This window comes from Homo sapiens, chromosome 16 (genome assembly GCF_000001405.40).
Source record: "Homo sapiens chromosome 16, GRCh38.p14 Primary Assembly".
NCBI classification, from domain to species: Eukaryota; Metazoa; Chordata; class Mammalia; order Primates; family Hominidae; genus Homo; species Homo sapiens.
Genome location: NC_000016.10, coordinates 71471758 through 71490263, shown reverse-complemented (window position 1 = coordinate 71490263; position 18506 = coordinate 71471758). Strand labels below are relative to the sequence as shown.

The 18506-nt window shown below is 44.3% G+C and overlaps 1 protein-coding gene across 1 annotated transcript, besides 4 other annotated features; it reads left to right on the top strand.

Annotated features, from left to right (window-relative positions):
* The first annotated feature begins 939 nt into the window (after positions 1-939).
* On the top strand, positions 940-16681 carry ZNF19 (zinc finger protein 19). The gene is made up of 6 exons (NM_006961.4): positions 940-992; positions 5516-5675; positions 8121-8182; positions 11259-11385; positions 11923-12036; positions 13992-16681. The coding sequence occupies exons 3-6, from the start codon at positions 8150-8152 to the stop codon at positions 15092-15094; spliced, it is 1377 nt and encodes a 458-aa protein (NP_008892.2). The 5' UTR covers positions 940-992; positions 5516-5675; positions 8121-8149; the 3' UTR covers positions 15095-16681.
* Positions 5487-6396: an enhancer, noted in NCBI's record as "NANOG-H3K27ac-H3K4me1 hESC enhancer chr16:71517771-71518680 (GRCh37/hg19 assembly coordinates)". NCBI's record gives its function as "activates a minimal SCP1, AML or CMV promoter by ChIP-STARR-seq in primed H9 embryonic stem cells {active_cell/tissue: H9 hESC(primed)}" and the evidence as "EXISTENCE:reporter gene assay evidence [ECO:0000049][PMID:30033119]".
* Positions 5640-5919: a silencer, noted in NCBI's record as "silent region_7678". NCBI's record gives its function as "represses an Ori minimal core promoter by ATAC-STARR-seq in GM12878 lymphoblastoid cells {active_cell/tissue: GM12878}" and the evidence as "EXISTENCE:reporter gene assay evidence [ECO:0000049][PMID:35858748]".
* Positions 13591-13710: an enhancer, noted in NCBI's record as "active region_11075". NCBI's record gives its function as "activates an Ori minimal core promoter by ATAC-STARR-seq in GM12878 lymphoblastoid cells {active_cell/tissue: GM12878}" and the evidence as "EXISTENCE:reporter gene assay evidence [ECO:0000049][PMID:35858748]".
* Positions 15127-16326: an enhancer, noted in NCBI's record as "BRD4-independent group 4 enhancer chr16:71507841-71509040 (GRCh37/hg19 assembly coordinates)". NCBI's record gives its function as "activates an origin of replication core promoter dependent on BRD2, P300/CBP, MED14 and CDK7 cofactors, and independent of BRD4, by STARR-seq in HCT116 cells {active_cell/tissue: HCT116}" and the evidence as "EXISTENCE:reporter gene assay evidence [ECO:0000049][PMID:35650434]".
* Positions 16682-18506: the final 1825 nt, after the last annotated feature.

Genomic DNA, 18506 nt, shown 5'->3' with positions numbered 1-18506 from the left:
ATGTACTAACATCTAATCCTCACAACAATCCGGGGAATAAATACTATTATTATCCTAGTTTTAGAAATAAATGTGACACTTACAGGTTAAGTAATGCACCAAAGGTCACAGAGTGGTCCTTTGGCCTTTGAAACAAAGCATCCTGATGCCAGGCTGTGCTCCTTACCACTATGTCATACTGTTGTAAAGGAGATGGGACTAAGAAGCTCTAAGTCCCCAGTTTGTTTTGTAATTCTGTGACAGTGATCACAAACGTTTTGACAGTCCAGCAAAATCCTGGCCAGAGTTCTCTTTTGTGGACCCAGAAAGCCACAGGCACTAACACTTTAGAGCTATCTCTCTTAGCCCATATGCCCTGCGCTTTTGGCATTTTCTTTATCATTTAGAGGGGAAGGAGGGCAAGGGTCTGAGGAGCCTTGAATGGTGACTTGGACTCCAGGGGTAGTGGCAAACCATTGGAGGTTACAGTGCATGGAATTAAAGACAGCTTGAATGGTATAATCTGACTGGCTCATTTTACAGAAGACAAAAGCTGCTCAGAGACACAAGGGTCTTCCTCAATGGCCCGTGAGTGGCAGAGCTTGTGAAAGGAAGTTGATTCACTGCGAGTGAACCAGAACTCAGAAAGACCAGTAAGCAACCAGGAAACACCGGCCACCATCTAGGCCTGTGGTGATGGCGGTTTTATCACGAATTCCTTCCTGACAATCAACTGCTCCCGGGCAGAAGCGATCGCTTTCTTGACCCACCCAAATGGACAATGACCCAGGCGTGAGGTTCCTGAGGAGAGAAAAAAGTGTGTACAAGGAAAGGAAGAGGATGTCTCCCAATCGGAAACACCGAGATGCGGAAAAGTTGCACCGTAGAAAGAGCAGCCGTGCTCATGACGCACTTCTGGCCTCCAAGCGCCCCACAAGCGTGACGCACTTCCGGCCTCCTAACCGTTCTCGCTAGCGGTGCGCTTCTGGCCTGTTTTGAGTCCGCGCTCAAAGGTGCCAAAGTGCAAGGACCCACAGTTGGGCGGAGCTTGGGTTGGGAGTGAGACAGCATAGCAGTCCAGGCTGGTCCTTTGAGCGCAGCTCAAAGAAGGGGACGGGGAGGGCGTCACTATACAATTGTGGCCGGGTGGGACCTGGGCTGTTTGCTCTTGGAGGCTGTACAGCTGCAAGCTTTGCCGCTCACGAACTGGAGCTGGAGAAAGAGCCCCCCAAGGATGGGAGGATGACAGAAGTGTCTGCAGATGGCACTGCCTGGGCACCAGGAGAGGCAAGGACTCCAGCTGATTCCTACCTCCTAGGGAAGCCATCCCCACTCTTAGTTGGGGCCGGCTTAAGTCTTTAACCAAGGCTCTTGCAGTTGCAGTGTCTGTTTCTTTTGAAGAGGCAGATTTGGAGACCTGTGTCCAAACAAATGCCATTGTCCCATAGTGTTTTTATGTTTTTGTTAGTTTGTTTTGGTTTTTTTGAGACGAAGTCTCGCTCTTGTCACCCAGGCTGGAGTGCAATGGCACCATCTCTACTCACTGCAACCTCCGCCTCCCGAGTTCAAGTGATTCTCCTGCCTCAGCCTCCCGAGTAGCTGGGATTACAGGTGCCTGCCACCACACCCGGCTAATTTTTGTATTTTTAGTAGAGACGGGGTTTCACCATGTTGGTCAGACGGGTCTCAAACTCCTGACCTCAGGCGATCCGCCTGTCTCGGCCTCCCAAAGTGCTGGGATTACAGGCGTGAGCCACTGTGACCAGTCTGAACTCACTTTTAATTTTAGGAGCTTGTTTTGTAGATTCTTTGGGACTTCTTATACAGATAATCATGTTGCCTGCAGATAGTAACAGTTTTGTTCTGAGTTTCGAATCTGTGTGTCTTTCATTTCATTTCTTTTTCTTTTTCTTTTTTTTTTTTTTTTGAGATAGTCTCGTTCTGTCACCCAGGCTGGAGTGCAGTGGCATATTCTCAGCTTACTGCATCCTCCACCTCCCGGGTTCAAGCAATTCTCATGTCTCAGCCTCCTGAGTAGCTGGGATTACAGGCACACACCACCACACCTGGCTCATTTTTATATTTTTAGTAGAGATGCGATTTCTCCATGTTGGCCAGGCTGGTCTTGAACTCCTGGCCTCAAGCAATCCATCCACCTTGGCCTCCCAAAGTGCTGGGATTACAGGTGTGAGCCACTGTGTCTGACCTATGTGCCTTTTATTTCTTTTTCTGGCCTTGCTCTTGCTAAGACTCCCAATATGATGTTAAATAGTAGTGGTAAGAGCAGACATACCTGCCATGTTCCCAATCTTGGAGGGAAAGACATTCTGTCTTTCATCATTAAGTATGTTTGCAGCTGCAAGGAGAGAATAATATTGAATTATATGTCAGTATAGATACTGCAGCACAATATTTAGCTTAACTACATATTTTTTTGCAGCCAAGGCAAAAATGACTTTGTGCATGAAACTTAAGTTCCACCACAGCCTCAGCCTATTTGTGGCTGGGATTTTCAGACATATGGGAGAGAAGTTAGTATTTTCAAGTCAGGATTAAGTAACAGTAAATATGCCATGATCATACACCATACTCTGGGTATCATGATCTGATATTACTTATAGCTTCAGTTAAAGATACTGTAGGAGTTAGAGGGAGAGCTGGATAGTTAGGCTGTGAGGTGACCAGAAAGAAAGGTGGTTCCCATTGGAATCTAAGGAATGGTCAAAGCTTGAAAGTAATTATGTTTGATGGTAGAGATTGTGACAGACATGAGTATGAGTATTGTATTAGTCCGTTGTCACAGTGCTATACAGATATACCTGAGACTGGGTAATTTATGGAGAAAAGAGGTTTAATTGGCTAACAGTTCCACAGGCTGTACAGGAGGCATGGCTGGGGAGGCCTCAGGATACTTACAATCATGGTGGAAAGCAAAGGGGAAGCAGGCACAATCTTCACATGGCCAGCAGGAGAGAGACAGCAAAGGAGGAAGCGCAACACACTTCGAAACAACCAGATCACATGAGAACTCACTATCACGAGAACAGCAAGGGGGAAATCCGCCCCCATGATCCAATCACCTTCCACCATGTTCCTCCCCCAACACTGAAGATCATAATTCAACATGAGATTTGCCTGGGGACACAGAGCCAAAACATATCAAGTATACATTTCCTTAGAGGTGATACATTGGCTGGGAAGACAGGTCAGTGTGAATTAGCTATTATTATTAATGATCTTGAAAACTCTCTGGGAGACTTTCCAGACAAATGAGAGTGGAAATTTTCTTCCTTTCCACTCCCTGCAAAACAAAAATAAGTTATTCCCAACTCTTTTTGTTTTTAATTTTAGTGTTCCCATCTTCTGGCCAAGAATATACTCAACTCTTCACCAAGTAAACATACGGGTTCCCATGTTTCTAAAAACCGATAAAATTAACAATAGAGACTTGTTTTTGTTTTATATCCAGACTTAATGGTCATTTATGTAATGTAAATATCCAGAATAGGCAAATCTATAAAGAAAGTGGTTGTCTAGAATTGGGGGAAGAAGAGAGGTATGTACATGTGTGTCTATTAATTTTCTATTGCTGCTGTAACAAATTGCCATGAGTAGTGGCGTAAAACAACACTAATTTATCTTAGAGTTTTGGAGGTCAGAAATCCAAAATGGGTCCCACTGGTATAAATTCAGGATTTAGACTAAGGAGAGAATCTGTTTCCTTGCCTTTTTCATCTTCTGGAGGCCACCCACTTTCCTTGACCCTTGGCCCCTTCCTCCATCTTCAAAGCCAGTGAGGTTGGGCCAAGTCCTTCTTGTGCTGTCATTTTTGTGATTCTCTTTCAATTCCCTCTTTCACGTTCAAGAACTCTTATGATTACACTGGGCCCACCTGAATAATCCAAGATAATCATCTTTTTTTTTTTGACAGGGTCTCGCTTTGTTGCCCAGGCTGGAGTGCAGTGGCTCAATCAAGGCTCACTGCAGCCTTGACCTCCCAGGCTCAAGTGATCCTCCCAACTCAGCTAGTAGCTGGGACTACAGGCGTGTGCCCACACCTGGCCAATTTTTGTTCCTTTTTGGAATTTTTTTTTTTTTTTTTTCGGTAGAGACAGGGTTTTGTCATGTTGCCCAGGCTGGTTTGAACTCCCAGGCTCAAGTGATCTGCCCACCTGGGCCTCCCACAGTGCTGGGATTACAGATGTGAGCCACTGTGCCTAGCCCCAAGATAATCTTAAAGTTGGCTGACTAGCAATCTTAATTCCACCTGCAACCTCAATTTCCCTTTGTCATGTAACTTAATGTACTCACAGGTTCTAGAGATTAGGACATATACATCTTTGAGGGGAACAAAACACCATTCTGCTTACCAGAGGGAAAATGGAGAGTGACTGCTGATGGTTATGAGGTTCCTTTGGGGAGATGAAAATGTCCTGAAACTGATTGTGGTGATGTTTGCGCAAGTCTCTGAACACACTAAAACCTATTTAATTTTATACTCTGCATTGATGAATTGTATGGTGTGTGAATTAAATGTTAATAAGGCAGGTGTGTGTGTGTGTGTTCAGTATTTTTGAAACTAAATTCTTTCACCTTCTTGCCTGAAACCAGCTCCTCTTCTTCAATTCCTGATCTCAGCTAATGGCACCTTCATCTATCAGGTCATCCAAAATTCATGGCTATTATAGATTGCTCTGGCTGCCTTGTATTCAGTCATTAAAAAAAAAAATGTCCACCGTTTTCACTTCCTAAATAGTTACTTAATATATCCCTCCTTAGACCTGGTCTTTCTTTCTTTTTGTTTTTTTTTGTTTTTTTGGTTTTTTTTTTTTTTGAGATGGAGTTTTGCTTTTGTCGCCCAGGCTGGAGTGCAATGGCACAATCTCGGCTCACTGCAACCTCCACCTCTCGGGTTCAAGCAATTCTCCTGCCTCAGCCTCCCGAGTAGCTGGGATTACAGGTGCCCGCCATTACGCCTGGCTAATTTTTGTATTTTTAGTAGAGACGAGGTTTCACCACGTTGACCAGGCTGGTCTCGAACTCCTGACCTCAGGTGATCTGCCCGCCTTGGCCTCCGAAAGTGCTGGGATTACAGGCGTGAGCCACCGCGCCTGGCCTGCTGACCTGGTCTTTCTTAACGTGTCTGGGTCTTTACCTCTAAGGAGGACAGCTTTTTTGTGCAAAGACCCTTTGGCAGTCTGGTGACACCTTCAAAACCAATGAACATACAATTAAACAGTTTTTTAGAATTTGTGATACAGAAATATAAGTGCAGCTTTACCAACGTGATGAAATGTAATGACAAGACTTGAGGTGGGCCCGATAACAACAAGGACAATTTCAAATTAGTGACGAGAATAGCCATATTCTGAGATCTGCATCAACTGTAATGTGATATGAAAATATCTGTGATTTCTATCGGTGACAGTCACAGATACGGCTGATACTACAGTAGTTTGTTGCCAACATAGAAGAAAATGCTAAATTTCGGTTAGAGATTAGCGAAAACAATGATATACTTTCTTTCCTATTCAAGGTCTCTGAGGATCCCCGGGTGGAAACTCCTCCCGGGAGTAAAACCACACAACCACTGAGAAGACCGCTCCGGCATCCTAGAGAGTACGCGTGTGAGCCTGGGTGCAAGGCCAAAGTAGTGACGCACTTCCGTTCACGCACCGCTTTCTGTTTTTCCTGAGGTGAGTGTTGGGGTTTGTCGCCTAGGAGTCCTTGCTAGGCTCAGGCACTGCACCTCTAGAGAAGGCTGTCGGCTTCGTCCCTGCTGCCTCAGTGGAGGGAGACAGGGCGGCCCCTCCGGGACCGGGGAGCGGAGGCTGCTCGCGGGCCGGTCCCGGTCTCCCTCTGGTGCCTTCGCTCCCCCACGCCTGCATCGGCGCCTTGGGAAATGGAGGCTGTGGATATGGGCGGCTGGATGGAAGGGACGCCTCTGTTCTCGACGCCGCCCAAACCCCATCTGCTCATTGGGCCACAGCTGCTTACTGAGCAGCTATGTGCCAGTTCCTGCTCTAGATTCCGGGGATGCAGCGGTGAATGAGGCGGGGCGTGGGCCCCGCCCCCAGGAAGCTTTCCGCCCAATGGGAAAGTCATGTATTAATCAAATCTGGTTATTTCACTCCACCTGCCCGTGACTTAGTGCACGTAGATCGAAGACCAAGTTCTTGACGTGCACAAAGTGTGGCTTTGTCCCTTGTGACTTCTTCAGCATCATCTAACAGCACACTCTCCTTTGACTGCTACTACAGTGTTCTTGATCCTTCACTACTAGAACATGGCTTTTGCGTATGCTGTTACTTTTGTAAAGATTTCCTTCATACCTTAGTTAATTTATTTTCTTAAGCTTCCCATCCACGTTAGTTTCCCCTGGCAGTGATTTAAATTGTGGACTTAAAAGTTATTTGAGAGAATCTTGATTAATGTGTCTTTCCTTTAGACTAAGCTCTGCGAGGGACAGGATCATGCCCCTTCTCTCTCTACTTCATCTGTTGTGTGTCACACGTGGCCTTGCATGAAATATGTATGAGATAAATATTTGTTGAATGAAGAAAGCACAAATCAATATATAATTTCAAACTGGATTAAGTGGTATATAGGAAAAGGAGTACGGTGCGAGTGGAGTGTTTAACAGAGACACCTGACCTGGTCTGTAGAGCGATCATGATCTGAAGGTGAAGGGTGGATAGATTACTGGAGAGAATGGCGGCTAGATTACTGGAGAGAATGGCAGGCAGAGAATCTCAGTTGTAATGGTTCTGAGATTGGAGAAGAGTAGTTCATACAGAAGAAACAGCAGGTATGAAGGTCCTGAGTTAGCACAGAGGAAACTGAAAGAAGGCCATTGTAGCTAAACTAAGAGAAAAGAGGGTGGCGGCACAAGATGAGGCTCGCAGAAAACAGCATCATGCATTAAGTCCCTGTAGGGAAGATGCTGGCTTTTTATAGAATATTGCTGTTTAACTAGAATACAAAGTGTCTGTAAGAGATGATATAGTTAAAACAATAACCCAGATGTTTTAGTGTGTTGAGTTGGCCCTTCAGGGTCCTTTGGTAATCAGTTTCTGGTTTTCATGGCCCTTGAGTGGGGCAATGAACAAAAAAGATGCCTGCTCCAGGTCCAAGTAAAGGAAGACTTGCTCTGAGATTTTTTTCCTGAGTTTTCTTGGCCATTCTTGTCTATTATTTTATGTTAACCTTAAAATCATTTTGCCAGTTCTAAAAGCATTCCTGTTAGGATTACTATTGGAAAGAATTTAGTGTAGTTATTAAAAGCAGGAGGCGGTGCCTCACGCCTGTAATCCCATCACTTTGGGAGGCCGAGGTGGGTGGATCGCTAGAGGCCAGTAGTTTGAGGACTAGTCTGGGCAATATGATGAAACCCTGTCTCTACTAAAATTACAAAAATGAGCCAGGTGTGGTGGCACATGCCTGTAATCCCAGTTACTTGAGAGGCTGAGGCAGGAGAATTGCTTGAACCTGGGAGGCCGTGGTTACAGTCAGCTGAGATCACGCCATTGCACTCCAGCCCAGGTGACAGTGAGATTCTTGTCTCAACAAACAAACAAACAGACAAAAACATGACCTTTGAAGCCTGGCAGATCTAGTGTGGGATCCGAGTTCATCCATTCACCAGCTGAGTGATCTTGGTAGAAGAAATTATTCTCTTAGCCTTGTCTTCTCATTTGGGAAAAATTAAAGGTTCAAAAGATTGTTGTGAGGACTAAATAAGAGAATATGTATTTTTCATCCAAAAGCATGATACTTGCTATTTTTAACCTTTTATATTCTCAGTCAAATTTATTTTTAAAAATAAAGGTCTGAGATTCTTCTTGTTAGGTTTCGCTCTGAGTTTATTGGTGTCTTTTGCTTGTTTTGCTCTTCATTTAGCTTGGTGTTGGTGAGGACAGGCTCTGGTGTCCTAGGACAAGTTACTTATTCTTTCAAAATCTGTTTCCTCAGAATTACAAACCTCATGGTATGATGTGGATTAAAAAGTACATATTTATGCACCACTAACCCAGTGAGCATTTAGTAAGTGAATGCTGCTTGCTATTGGCAAATTTATTGCTCTAAAGAGAGCATTTTACTGGGCTGAGCTCACTGTTGGTTCTCTCTGTTTCTTCCCTCAGCCTTTGCCTGCTAAGAGGGAGACCAGGTCATGGCAGCCATGCCTCTGAAAGCTCAATACCAGGTGAGCTGTGGATCCCTGAGGTCAGCTCTATGGAGGTCTGAGTTGAAGGAAATGAGGTGGATAAAGGTGATTCTGGCAAGTCTTAGAGCCAAAGCAGTAGGAAAACCCCTGCTGATTCCCTCCAGTAGGACTGGGTGCTGGGGAAAGAGCTAGGGGCAGTGAAGATGGAAACAGGAGAGAGTGATCTGGAAAGCTGAAGTACAGCCTCCTGAATACTGAGAATCTCTCCTGGGCCAGAGGATCCCCAGGTTCAGTAGCTGTCCCTCTGCAGAGGGAATTGTGAGAACGAGGGACTCAGGCTGGTGATGTAGGGATCCAGGATAGGATGGAAGTGACTAAGATCAGCAAGGGCACAAGGTTTTTGGGAAGTAGCAGCAGAGGGACAGCAGGAAGAAGACAAGAAAGAGGGGGCCTATCTAATTTGTCCTCCAAAAGAAAGGAGGAAGTTTGGGCTTCAGAATCAGGAAACATATGTCCTTGAGGTCAGTACTGCTGGCGAAGTGAGGCAATGGGCTGTGATAGGAAAAGTCTACACTCCCAACAGGACACCTGAAGTTAGGGATCTGTTAGGCCTCAGTGGCATCATAGCCTTGAGCCAGTCACATAATTGCTTTGCATCTTAACTGGATTCATTTGTAAGGTGAACATAAGTACCTTACATTTTTGGGACAGAGAATTGATTTCTTGAATTACATTTCACTTTTTGAGACGGAGTTGCTGCTTTGTCATTTCTTTTCTCCTGGCACTTATTTATCCAGTAACTTAGTATCCATGAACCATATCCCAAATCATAATCTCATATTTCTCACATCCTTCAGTTTTCTCTACCTGACTGTGTCACTGATATATCAGCTTCCTTGGAGCTCCCACCCTCTTCTGGTTTTTCCACAAGTGTCTGACATCACACTATATTGCAGTCCTGATCACTCAGTTTCTAAATTGCTGTGTAATTGTTGACTATGTTCTCCCCTGATACCATTTCCAGAGAGACACAAAGTCTTGTTGTTTTTCCTTCTCTCTCTGCCACTTGTGCCATCTTTCAGATTACATTTAGAGTTTGTTGTTCCTTCTCTGGAATTTTGTTTGCAGCGCTTCCCGGATAGATTCTCTGTGTATAGTTGTGCACCTTTCCATCACTTTGTCACCTAATACAGCTCAGTTTCCTGAGTTTGGATTTTATCCTCCAATCCAGGGTTCTCAGACTTCAGTGTACATCAGAATTACCTGGAGGGCTCACTGAAGTATGGACTTCTCTCAGAGTGGGGCCCAAGAATTTGCCTAACAAATTCCCAAGTGTTGCATCCGCTACTGGTGGTGGTCTGGAGACCACACTCTGAATACCACTGCTCTAGTTAGTGGTGATTCATTCAAGAGGTTCATTCAGGAGTTGATGAAGTCAGGTTGTCAGCTGGGCAGAGGATAGATTCAGTGTGGGACAAGACTGGAAGTAGAGCTAAAGTGTCCCCAGCTGTTGACCTAGTTTACTGATTGTACCACAGTGAAGAAGAGTCAGATTCCAGAAATAACGTAGGTAATAAAATTGGCAGGACTTGAGTATTAACTGTCAGCAATGAGTGATGATGGGGGTTAGAATGTCTAGGATTAATCTGAAGTTCTAGCATTAGAGACTGGGTTGAAATTGGTGTTATCAACAGAGAGGGAAAAATATTGTCACACTGCCACTTAGTTTATATAAATTAGAAAGGAAGCCATTTTGGGGAAGATGAGTTTGGGGTTGCTTGGTGAGTCAGTGTGTTGGGTCATCCAGAGAGTCTGAGGCAGTGCTGGGATGAGGGGGATGTGGATATGTGCAAAATCAGTTGAGGCATTGGAAGGTCGGAGTGTATTCCCTGAGCACTCCGGTAACGAAGTTCAATACCAACATCTGAGGAGTGAATAGAGGCTCTAAACCAGATGCCAGAACTTTGTGGAAAGGTAGAGTTGAGGCCAGCAGGGAGGGAGAAGGGTGTCTGTTGAAAAAGCATGAGGGGCTGGGCATGGTGGCTCATTCCCGTAATCCCAGCACTTTGGGAGGCCGAGGCAGACGGATCTCTTGAGTCCAGGAGTTTGAGACCAGCCTGGGGAACGTGGCAAAACCTTGTCTCTACAGAAAATACAAAGATTAGCCTGGCATGGTGGTGTGCACCTATAGTCCCAGCTACTCAAGAGTCTGAGGCGGGAGGATCACCTGAGCTGGGAGGTCGAGGCTGCAGTGAGCTGAGATTGTGCCACTGCACTCCAACCTGGGTGACAGAGCAAGACACTGTCAAAAACAGAAAAAAAAGAGAAAAAGAACCAAAACCGAAAGAAAGAAAGAAAAAAAAACCCAAGAAGCATGAGGCTTGGTTGGCAGAAGCTATTACAGATTGTCTTGGAGCTATAAAGATAAGGAGCTAAAAGAGCTACCCAGCAGCAGCAATTTAATTCTAGAAGCATGGTTTTCTAGGAAAAGCCATCAAGGAGCAGAGTGGATTGTGCCAGGAGACTCTGAGCTCCCTCTACAGGATGCTCTTGAGCACAGGCAGCCCAGTCCTTTATACAAGAATCGAATGGGAGTCGGATGAGATAGGCCCATCAGTGCAAACCATGACTCTGTGCTTGTTTCATGGGCATAAGGTTTGGGGCAGGGTGAACACATGTGGGGAACAGATAGATTGGCTGAGAATAGGGAGTACCTAATAGGAATAGGTGGGTCCTGAGATACCATTTGAAGCAAATTGTCCACCTGTAGGTACAAAAGTAAAAGACTGAAAATATTTACTAAATCAAAGAGATTTTTGCCCTAGGAAGGTTAACTAATAAGAGACTTTTTTTCCTAGGGTTTAAAAAATGTTAAATCACATTTTATGACAGTCAATTTTATATCCTAATGGAATCTCTTCTGGTAGTGAGAGAAGTTCCAGATTTTTCGTTGTAAAAATAGTCATATAATGGTCTAATATCCAGTTCTGTCACATTTTCTCATTACCTATCCCTCACAGGACTTTCCCTCAAGTCCCTACCTGTCCCCTCTGCCCCACACTCTGGCCCGGAGCCAGAGGATTGGCTCTGGGGCAGCAGGAACCTGTTGTTTTAGGAGATGGTGACCTTCGAGGATGTGGCTGTGCACTTCACCAAGACAGAATGGACTGGCCTTTCTCCTGCCCAGAGGGCCCTGTACAGAAGTGTGATGTTGGAGAATTTTGGGAACCTGACTGCTTTGGGTAAGGCCATTTTCCTCCTAGGACTCAGATCTGTACTTTTCCAGTTTCCTTCCTTCTTTTACAGCCTGGGGGGAGGAGTGTGGAGTGGAGAGGAGAGGTTGTCTCTTGTGTCCTCCACTGAGTGACTGCAGAGCTGAGGCTCAGTGACCAACTTCAAAGATTGCTGGGTAGGGAGAGGTCTTGGGTCACTTTGGTCTCCCAATGAAGGGAATTACTGTCCCCTGGTAAGAGTATGTTCCATCTTCCAAGAGGCTCTGCACAGTAAGGAATAAGTAGTAGTTGTTGTCTGGGGAAGGGCATGTCCCCTTCCCTGTGTTTGCTCATGCCTTGTGGATCTCACTGACTTACTTATCCTTGAGTGTTTTTTTTAGGAAGAAGTCACAAATGCTCAGTTTCCTGTTGATCGGAATCTCTTTGGCCTTCTCCAGTCGAGAACCCTCTTCTGTGGGTCTTATTCTTACTGAGACTCCTGGGGTTTTCCTTCTTTTGACACAGCAGATACAGGGCTGAAAAGTACCATTTTCTTCCTGTTTTCAGGGTACCCAGTTCCCAAACCTGCACTGATCTCACTTTTGGAGAGAGGGGACATGGCTTGGGGCCTGGAAGCACAGGATGATCCCCCAGCAGAGAGGACCAAAAACGTCTGTAAAGGTAGGTGAGGCAGATTTAGAACCAACAATTGTAGCGTTTTATGGAGCACTGTATTTTAAAATGAATCATGCTGGGCAGGATTTAAATAAAATAGATGATTTCACCTAATAGGTAAAATATGAAACGTTTCTCACCAATCTTAACTCTTACCAACATGTAATCACTCAGTACGTCTCATCTGCAATCCTTGAATCCATTGTTCCTTTCTGAGTTTCAACATTGCCTACCTTAGTTGTCCTCCTTGGTTGGGATGGATTTATTCAGGAGCAGTTTTTGAGCAACTTGCCATGTGCTGAACGTTGTTTAAGAAGTTCTGGCAGGTACAAGTTATGGAGACAGATGTAAAAAGCGAAAAAGAAAAGTATTAAGTGCTGTTGGGAGTGGGACGGAGAATGTGAAGGTAAAATGGGCCAGATCTTCCCAAAAGTTGGCCATAAATGGGGAGAGCTGAGTCAGATAACACTAGGAAGTCATGGCATGGGAGGAGCTTTTTGAATTCATAGGAATTCAGAGCTGAGCACAGGGCGTGAGGTGCCTTTAGAATAGGCAAGTGGATGGCTAGAGCAGGCCATTGAGAAGGTGGGTGGAGAGTCTGAGATAAAAGGCAGGTCTGAAACAGTACTCTAACACAGCTGGGTTGAAACGATCCCCAGGAAGAAAAAATGAAGGCTGAATCTTAACCATTAAGGGATATTTAATTTCAGTGAGAGAAGGAAGAGAAAGTAGACAGTCAAATAGATGGGGGCCACCAAGAGCAAACAGTGAAATTGAAGGCAGAGGCAGGAGTTTCAGTGCAGGTGGTTTGCAGAGAGCAAATACGTGGAAAATAATGAAGCTAGCACAGCACTTCAGCCTCTTATTCTAAGAATCTGAAAAAGAATCATCAAGACAATTGAGAACCTGTTGGTTTGTTCTCACACGCTTCCTCTGTCTGGTGATTATTCTTTTTCAGACTCTTGGTTACCTTGTTTACTTCAATCTCAGATTACTCTCCTCTGAACATTCTCCTTCGGAGTTCCCTTACTCCTTTAACTCACACTCATAGGATGAACTTGATTAACCATCACATGAGTCCCAGGTAACCCACATTAATGTTAAAACCAAGCCCATCATTTCATATAAAATGGATTGACTTTAACTCATTTAAAATGTCATCCAATCTTTTGGAACACAAATGCCATTTTATGGGCTGTTTGTCTCCTTTTTGCTGATAGGAGAAAGAATACTCTCAGTCTGGGTGTGTCTAAGTAAACTGTTCATCCCTTTTCAAATAGAGAGTCTAGGACAGTAGTTTCTCTGCATGTTTGAGGTTCAGCAGTTTTAGGGCGTTTCCTCATCGTCTATAGTCCATGTGTGGTTCTGCAGTTAAGAACCTCTGAACTAGGTAATCTTACAACATATTGGGAATAATACTCTCTAAGCACTTCTGTGATTTTCTTTCTCTCTGTCTTGCCACAACCCAGTGTCTGTAATGTTCAGTGTCTTAAGTCTTTTGGGACATCTGCAGGGTATGAGTTTTTAAAAAGAACAACAATTCATCCTTTGCCTTTGCTTTCTGATACTGTTCTGTTTCACTTTCTGATTCTAAGTCTTGCCAGCCCCGATGTCACTACTTGTTCTTAAGACCTGTGCCTTCTTTGGCATTTTGTAGGCTGTAAGTAGCATCAATTCAAAAGATACTAGCTCATGCCAGGGATGACCAGACATCATTCAAATATTAGAGTAGAAAAGCTTAGGAAGCAGTCTCGTGTGTTGTGTCCACTGATACCCTGTTCCACCTCAATGTTCTCTGCCTGTGTGATATTTGGCACTTTCACTTTAACAGCCTTTTCTTCCCAGCATGCTGATGTGAAAGTTGAAATGATCTCTTTTAAAGCCTTATCATTTTCAATGCTCTATTATTTCTAGTATAGTTCTCAGGTGGCATTATTTGTGTTTTCTATCTCTTATGTCAGATGTTGAGACCAACATTGACAGTGAGTCCACATTAATCCAGGGAATTTCTGAAGAAAGAGATGGGATGATGTCACATGGTCAGCTGAAGAGTGTCCCTCAGAGAACTGACTTCCCAGAAACACGTAATGTGGAAAAGCACCAGGACATCCCCACAGTGAAAAATATCCAAGGAAAGGTTCCAAGAATCCCCTGTGCAAGGAAACCTTTCATATGTGAGGAGTGTGGGAAATCCTTCAGCTACTTTTCTTACTATGCTAGACACCAGAGAATCCACACTGGGGAGAAACCTTTTGAGTGTAGTGAGTGTGGAAAAGCCTTTAATGGTAATTCTTCGTTAATTCGGCACCAGAGGATTCACACTGGAGAGAGACCCTATCAGTGTGAGGAGTGTGGGCGAGCCTTTAATGATAATGCAAATCTGATCAGGCATCAGAGAATCCACAGTGGGGACAGACCCTATTACTGTACAGAGTGTGGGAATAGTTTCACGAGTAGTTCCGAGTTTGTTATACATCAGAGAATCCACACTGGGGAGAAACCCTATGAGTGTAATGAGTGTGGCAAAGCTTTTGTTGGTAATTCACCCCTACTTCGGCATCAGAAAATCCACACTGGAGAGAAACCCTATGAGTGTAATGAGTGTGGCAAAAGCTTTGGAAGGACTTCCCATCTAAGCCAACATCAGCGTATTCACACAGGGGAAAAGCCTTATTCTTGTAAAGTATGTGGACAAGCCTTCAATTTTCATACAAAACTAACTCGGCACCAGAGAATTCACAGTGAGGAGAAACCCTTTGACTGTGTAGATTGTGGAAAAGCCTTCAGTGCTCAGGAACAATTAAAAAGGCATCTGAGAATTCATACTCAGGAGTCTTCCTATGTATGTGATGAGTGTGGAAAAGCCTTGACTAGCAAAAGAAATCTTCATCAGCATCAAAGAATCCATACTGGAGAGAAACCCTATGAGTGTAGCAAGTATGAGAAGGCCTTTGGGACTTCTTCCCAGCTAGGTCACCTTGAGCATGTCTACTCTGGAGAGAAGCCTGTGCTGGACATTTGTCGTTTTGGCCTCCCAGAATTTTTTACCCCCTTTTACTGGTAATAGTACACTCCAGTGAAATGTACTGAGTGGATTCCGTCTTCTACTCAGGAATGGAATGTGTGACACAGGCCTGACTCAGCCTCTGATCCATCCCTCAAGCCACAGTTAATGATTCAGATGTCAGTAGATGACCAAAGATGGTTCAATTAGAGTCCCAGGATTGCAAGAGCTAATAGGAACAAATACTCTCCCCCCGCCCACCCCCATTGGTTTTAATGCTGAGAAGAAGAACTAGACTCTTACAGAGGTGAGAATGAAGTCCACACAGCAAAAATGCATCTGAGAATTGGAGAGCAGTAAAAGACTGAAGATAATGTTTGAACAGCCACATACACCATGCCTGAAGCTAAAAATATATACGGGTTTTTGAATTGCAGCAGCCAATAAATTCCATTTTTGTTTGGTTGGTTTTGGCTTTGGCACACCTGAGTTAGGTTTTCTTGCCTTGGAACAGAATTTTGACTTAAACAGTGTTGTCATTGTAGCAGTTGTTTGAAGTTTTCAGGGATAACATACCTGATGGAGAAATGTTTTGTGTGTATGATATATGGGAAAGTCTTTAGTTATAGTCATGGCAGCTCCTCAACCCCATGATTGTGATGAGATTGGGAAGCCCACTGTAACACTGGAGAGCCCAGGTTATATCAGACACCACTAGTAGATAGAAGTTCTAACAACTTGAGCTCTGTAACAAAAATCTCATTGTACTACAAAATTATGTCTGCACCAGTGAATCCATTCTCAAGAAAAGTCTTAACTAGGAAACTAAAAGCTTTCACTCTTAAAGCTTTCATTTTCTGTTTATTCAGTTTTTTATTTGGAATGGATGCTACTCTAGGCCTTAAACTGAGAAATGCCAGGCTATTGTAGCTATTATATCTTGGTATTTGCCATTTTAATTCCTAGGACAGCACGCCCGCTTTGCCCTTGACCTGGCTAGGGAGCCAAGGAAATGCCATGGTTCTTGGTCATAAGACACACTGCAGAGATCTCTCAGTAGGAAAACAGGGCTGGCCCTTTTCTTTGGTGATGAACACAAACTGCACCCTTTTTTTCTCCCACGTGTCCTTCCGCTGCCAGCCAGTGTTGGAATCTCCCTACCCAATTCCAGACTTAATTGCTTACTGCGTCTAGCACCTGGGTGGCTTCACCACCTCTTCCTTACTTGTCAGCAGATGAATGAGCAGTTGTATCATGTGCTTGGGTTGACCAATGAATGATAGACTTGGGGAATTGAGTAAACACCTTTTAATTGAAGTATAACACAAACATAAAAATGCATGAGTCAGCCAGGCGCGGTGGCTCACACTTGTAATCCCAGTACTTTGGGAGGCCGAGGTGGGCGATTCATCAGGTCAAGAGATCGAGACCATCCTGGCCAACATGGTGAAACCCCGTCTCTACTAAAAATACAAGAATTAGCTGGGCGTGGTGGTGCATGCCTGTAGTCCCAGCTGCTCAGGAAGCTGGGGCAGGCGAATTGCTTGAACCCGGGAGGCGGAGGTTGTAGTGAGCCGAGATTACACCACTGCACTCCAGCCTGGTGACAGAGTGAGATTCCTCAATAAAATAAAATAAAACCATGAATCATGGTTGTACAACTTGAATTTTTACAAAGAACATAGCCTTATAATCACCAAGATAAATAAATAGAACATAGGACCTTACAAGTCTCCTGTACCTTGTTAGAGTCCTTATGGAACCTCTACCCTGACTTCTATCACCAGAAATTATTTTGCCTGTTTTTGTTCTTTTGTGTCAATGGAATCATCAGTACAGATTCATTCTCATTGCTATGTCGTATTCCATTACATGAATATACCACAATTTATTGCTTACTGTCGGTGGGCATTTGGGTTATTTCCAGGGGGATCTTTTTGAAGGCAGAAAACCTAAAAGCCACTCAGAAAAAAAAACTGGTTAAAGTAACCATGGTCAGGGACTGCTTCAAATGCTGCTGCATCAGCCCAGCTGCCCTGTAGTAAATGATAACAGCAGTAATTTTTTTTTGGCACTTAACATGTGACAGACACTTTCCTAGTCACTACACAGATTTACTCAATATGATAACTTTATGAAGAGTGTGCTACAATTAACTCCATGTTACAGTTGGGAAGACATTAATTAGGTTGCCTAAGGACACAGTAGTGGAGTAGGTATTCGAATACAGGCAGTCTGGTTTCAGAACTCATGTTCTAGCTGTTGCACAGTATGGCCCTATGGAAGTTGTATGTAAAGTATGTGACACTGTATCTTGGTAACAGAAGAGAGATTGTTGGAAGAAACAGATATGGTCCTTAGGGGTGGAGGAGAATATTAGGATAAAGTCAAGATGGGGAGGCTTTGCTTGGCTTCACACAATGGGAGGTGGAGAATTGGCATCAAAGAGGAAACCATAGGTTGAGATAGAATCATAAAATATGTCCAGTACAAACTGTCCCAGGAGAGTTGTCATGAGGGAGGTAGCATGCCTCTAGTAGGGAGAGGATCCGGTTCTTAGCACTGCCTCCCTGTCTTATTGGCTGTGTACCTCTCAACAGCGTCTGAAAATGGGTGTCTTCATATCATGTACCTGAAGCAGAGAGCTGGCCCGACTGAGGTCCAAGTAAGGCCCCCCAACTTCAGCCTTGAGGTGTAGGGATAGCTGAGTGAGGTTTGTTTCCTTTTCTCTGTTCTTCACTACTGAGTAGTTAGCTCCCTTGGCCCCTGACCCCAGTGCCACTGTCAGGAAGCCCCCTCCAATTGAGTAACTGTCTTTGAATCAGTTATGATTAATGTACTCGTTTTCTTTGGCTTCTTAACAGAAATCTGTTCTCACAGTTCTAGAGGCTAGAAGTCTGAAAACAATTTCCCTGGGCAGAAACAGTTTGTCAGCAAAGCCATACTCCCTCAGAAGGCTCTAGGGCAGAATCTGGTCTTTCTTTAAGCTGCTGGTGGCTGCCGGCATTCCTTAGTGGCAACATCACTGCAATCTCTGCTGTCTTCACATCACCTTCTCTGTGTCCAATCTCCCTGGCCTCTCTCTCATAAGGGCATTTGTGATGGCATTTAGGACTCACCCAAATAGTCCAGGATAATTATTTATCTTAGGACCCTTAATTTAGTGACAACTGCAAGAACTTTGCCATTTAGGGCAACATTCATGCGTTCCAGGAATCAGGACCTGGTATCTTTGGATGGGTATTATTCAGCCCACCACCGTCACTGAGGTTCATCTGTATATATCAGAAAACCCCTAAACAAGACACCCTAATACAAGATAGAATTTTTCTTAGGAGTCTGGAGATAGCCCAGGGCAGCTAAGGCAGTTCTACAATGTTAGTGGGGACCAAATCTCCTTCCAAAGTACCACTTGGCCATCCTCAATGGGGCCATTATCCTCATGGTCCAAGGTGGCTGCTAGAACTCCAAC

Excerpts from the sequence above, each read along its gene's own strand:
- ZNF19 (NM_006961.4), top strand. The coding sequence starts at position 8,150 with ATGGCAGCCATGCCTCTGAAAGCTCAATACCAG. Across the intron at positions 8,183-11,258 it reads CTCTGAAAGCTCAATACCAG|GAGATGGTGACCTTCGAGGA; the intron begins GTGAGCTGTGGA and ends CTGTTGTTTTAG. Across the intron at positions 12,037-13,991 it reads GACCAAAAACGTCTGTAAAG|ATGTTGAGACCAACATTGAC; the intron begins GTAGGTGAGGCA and ends CTCTTATGTCAG.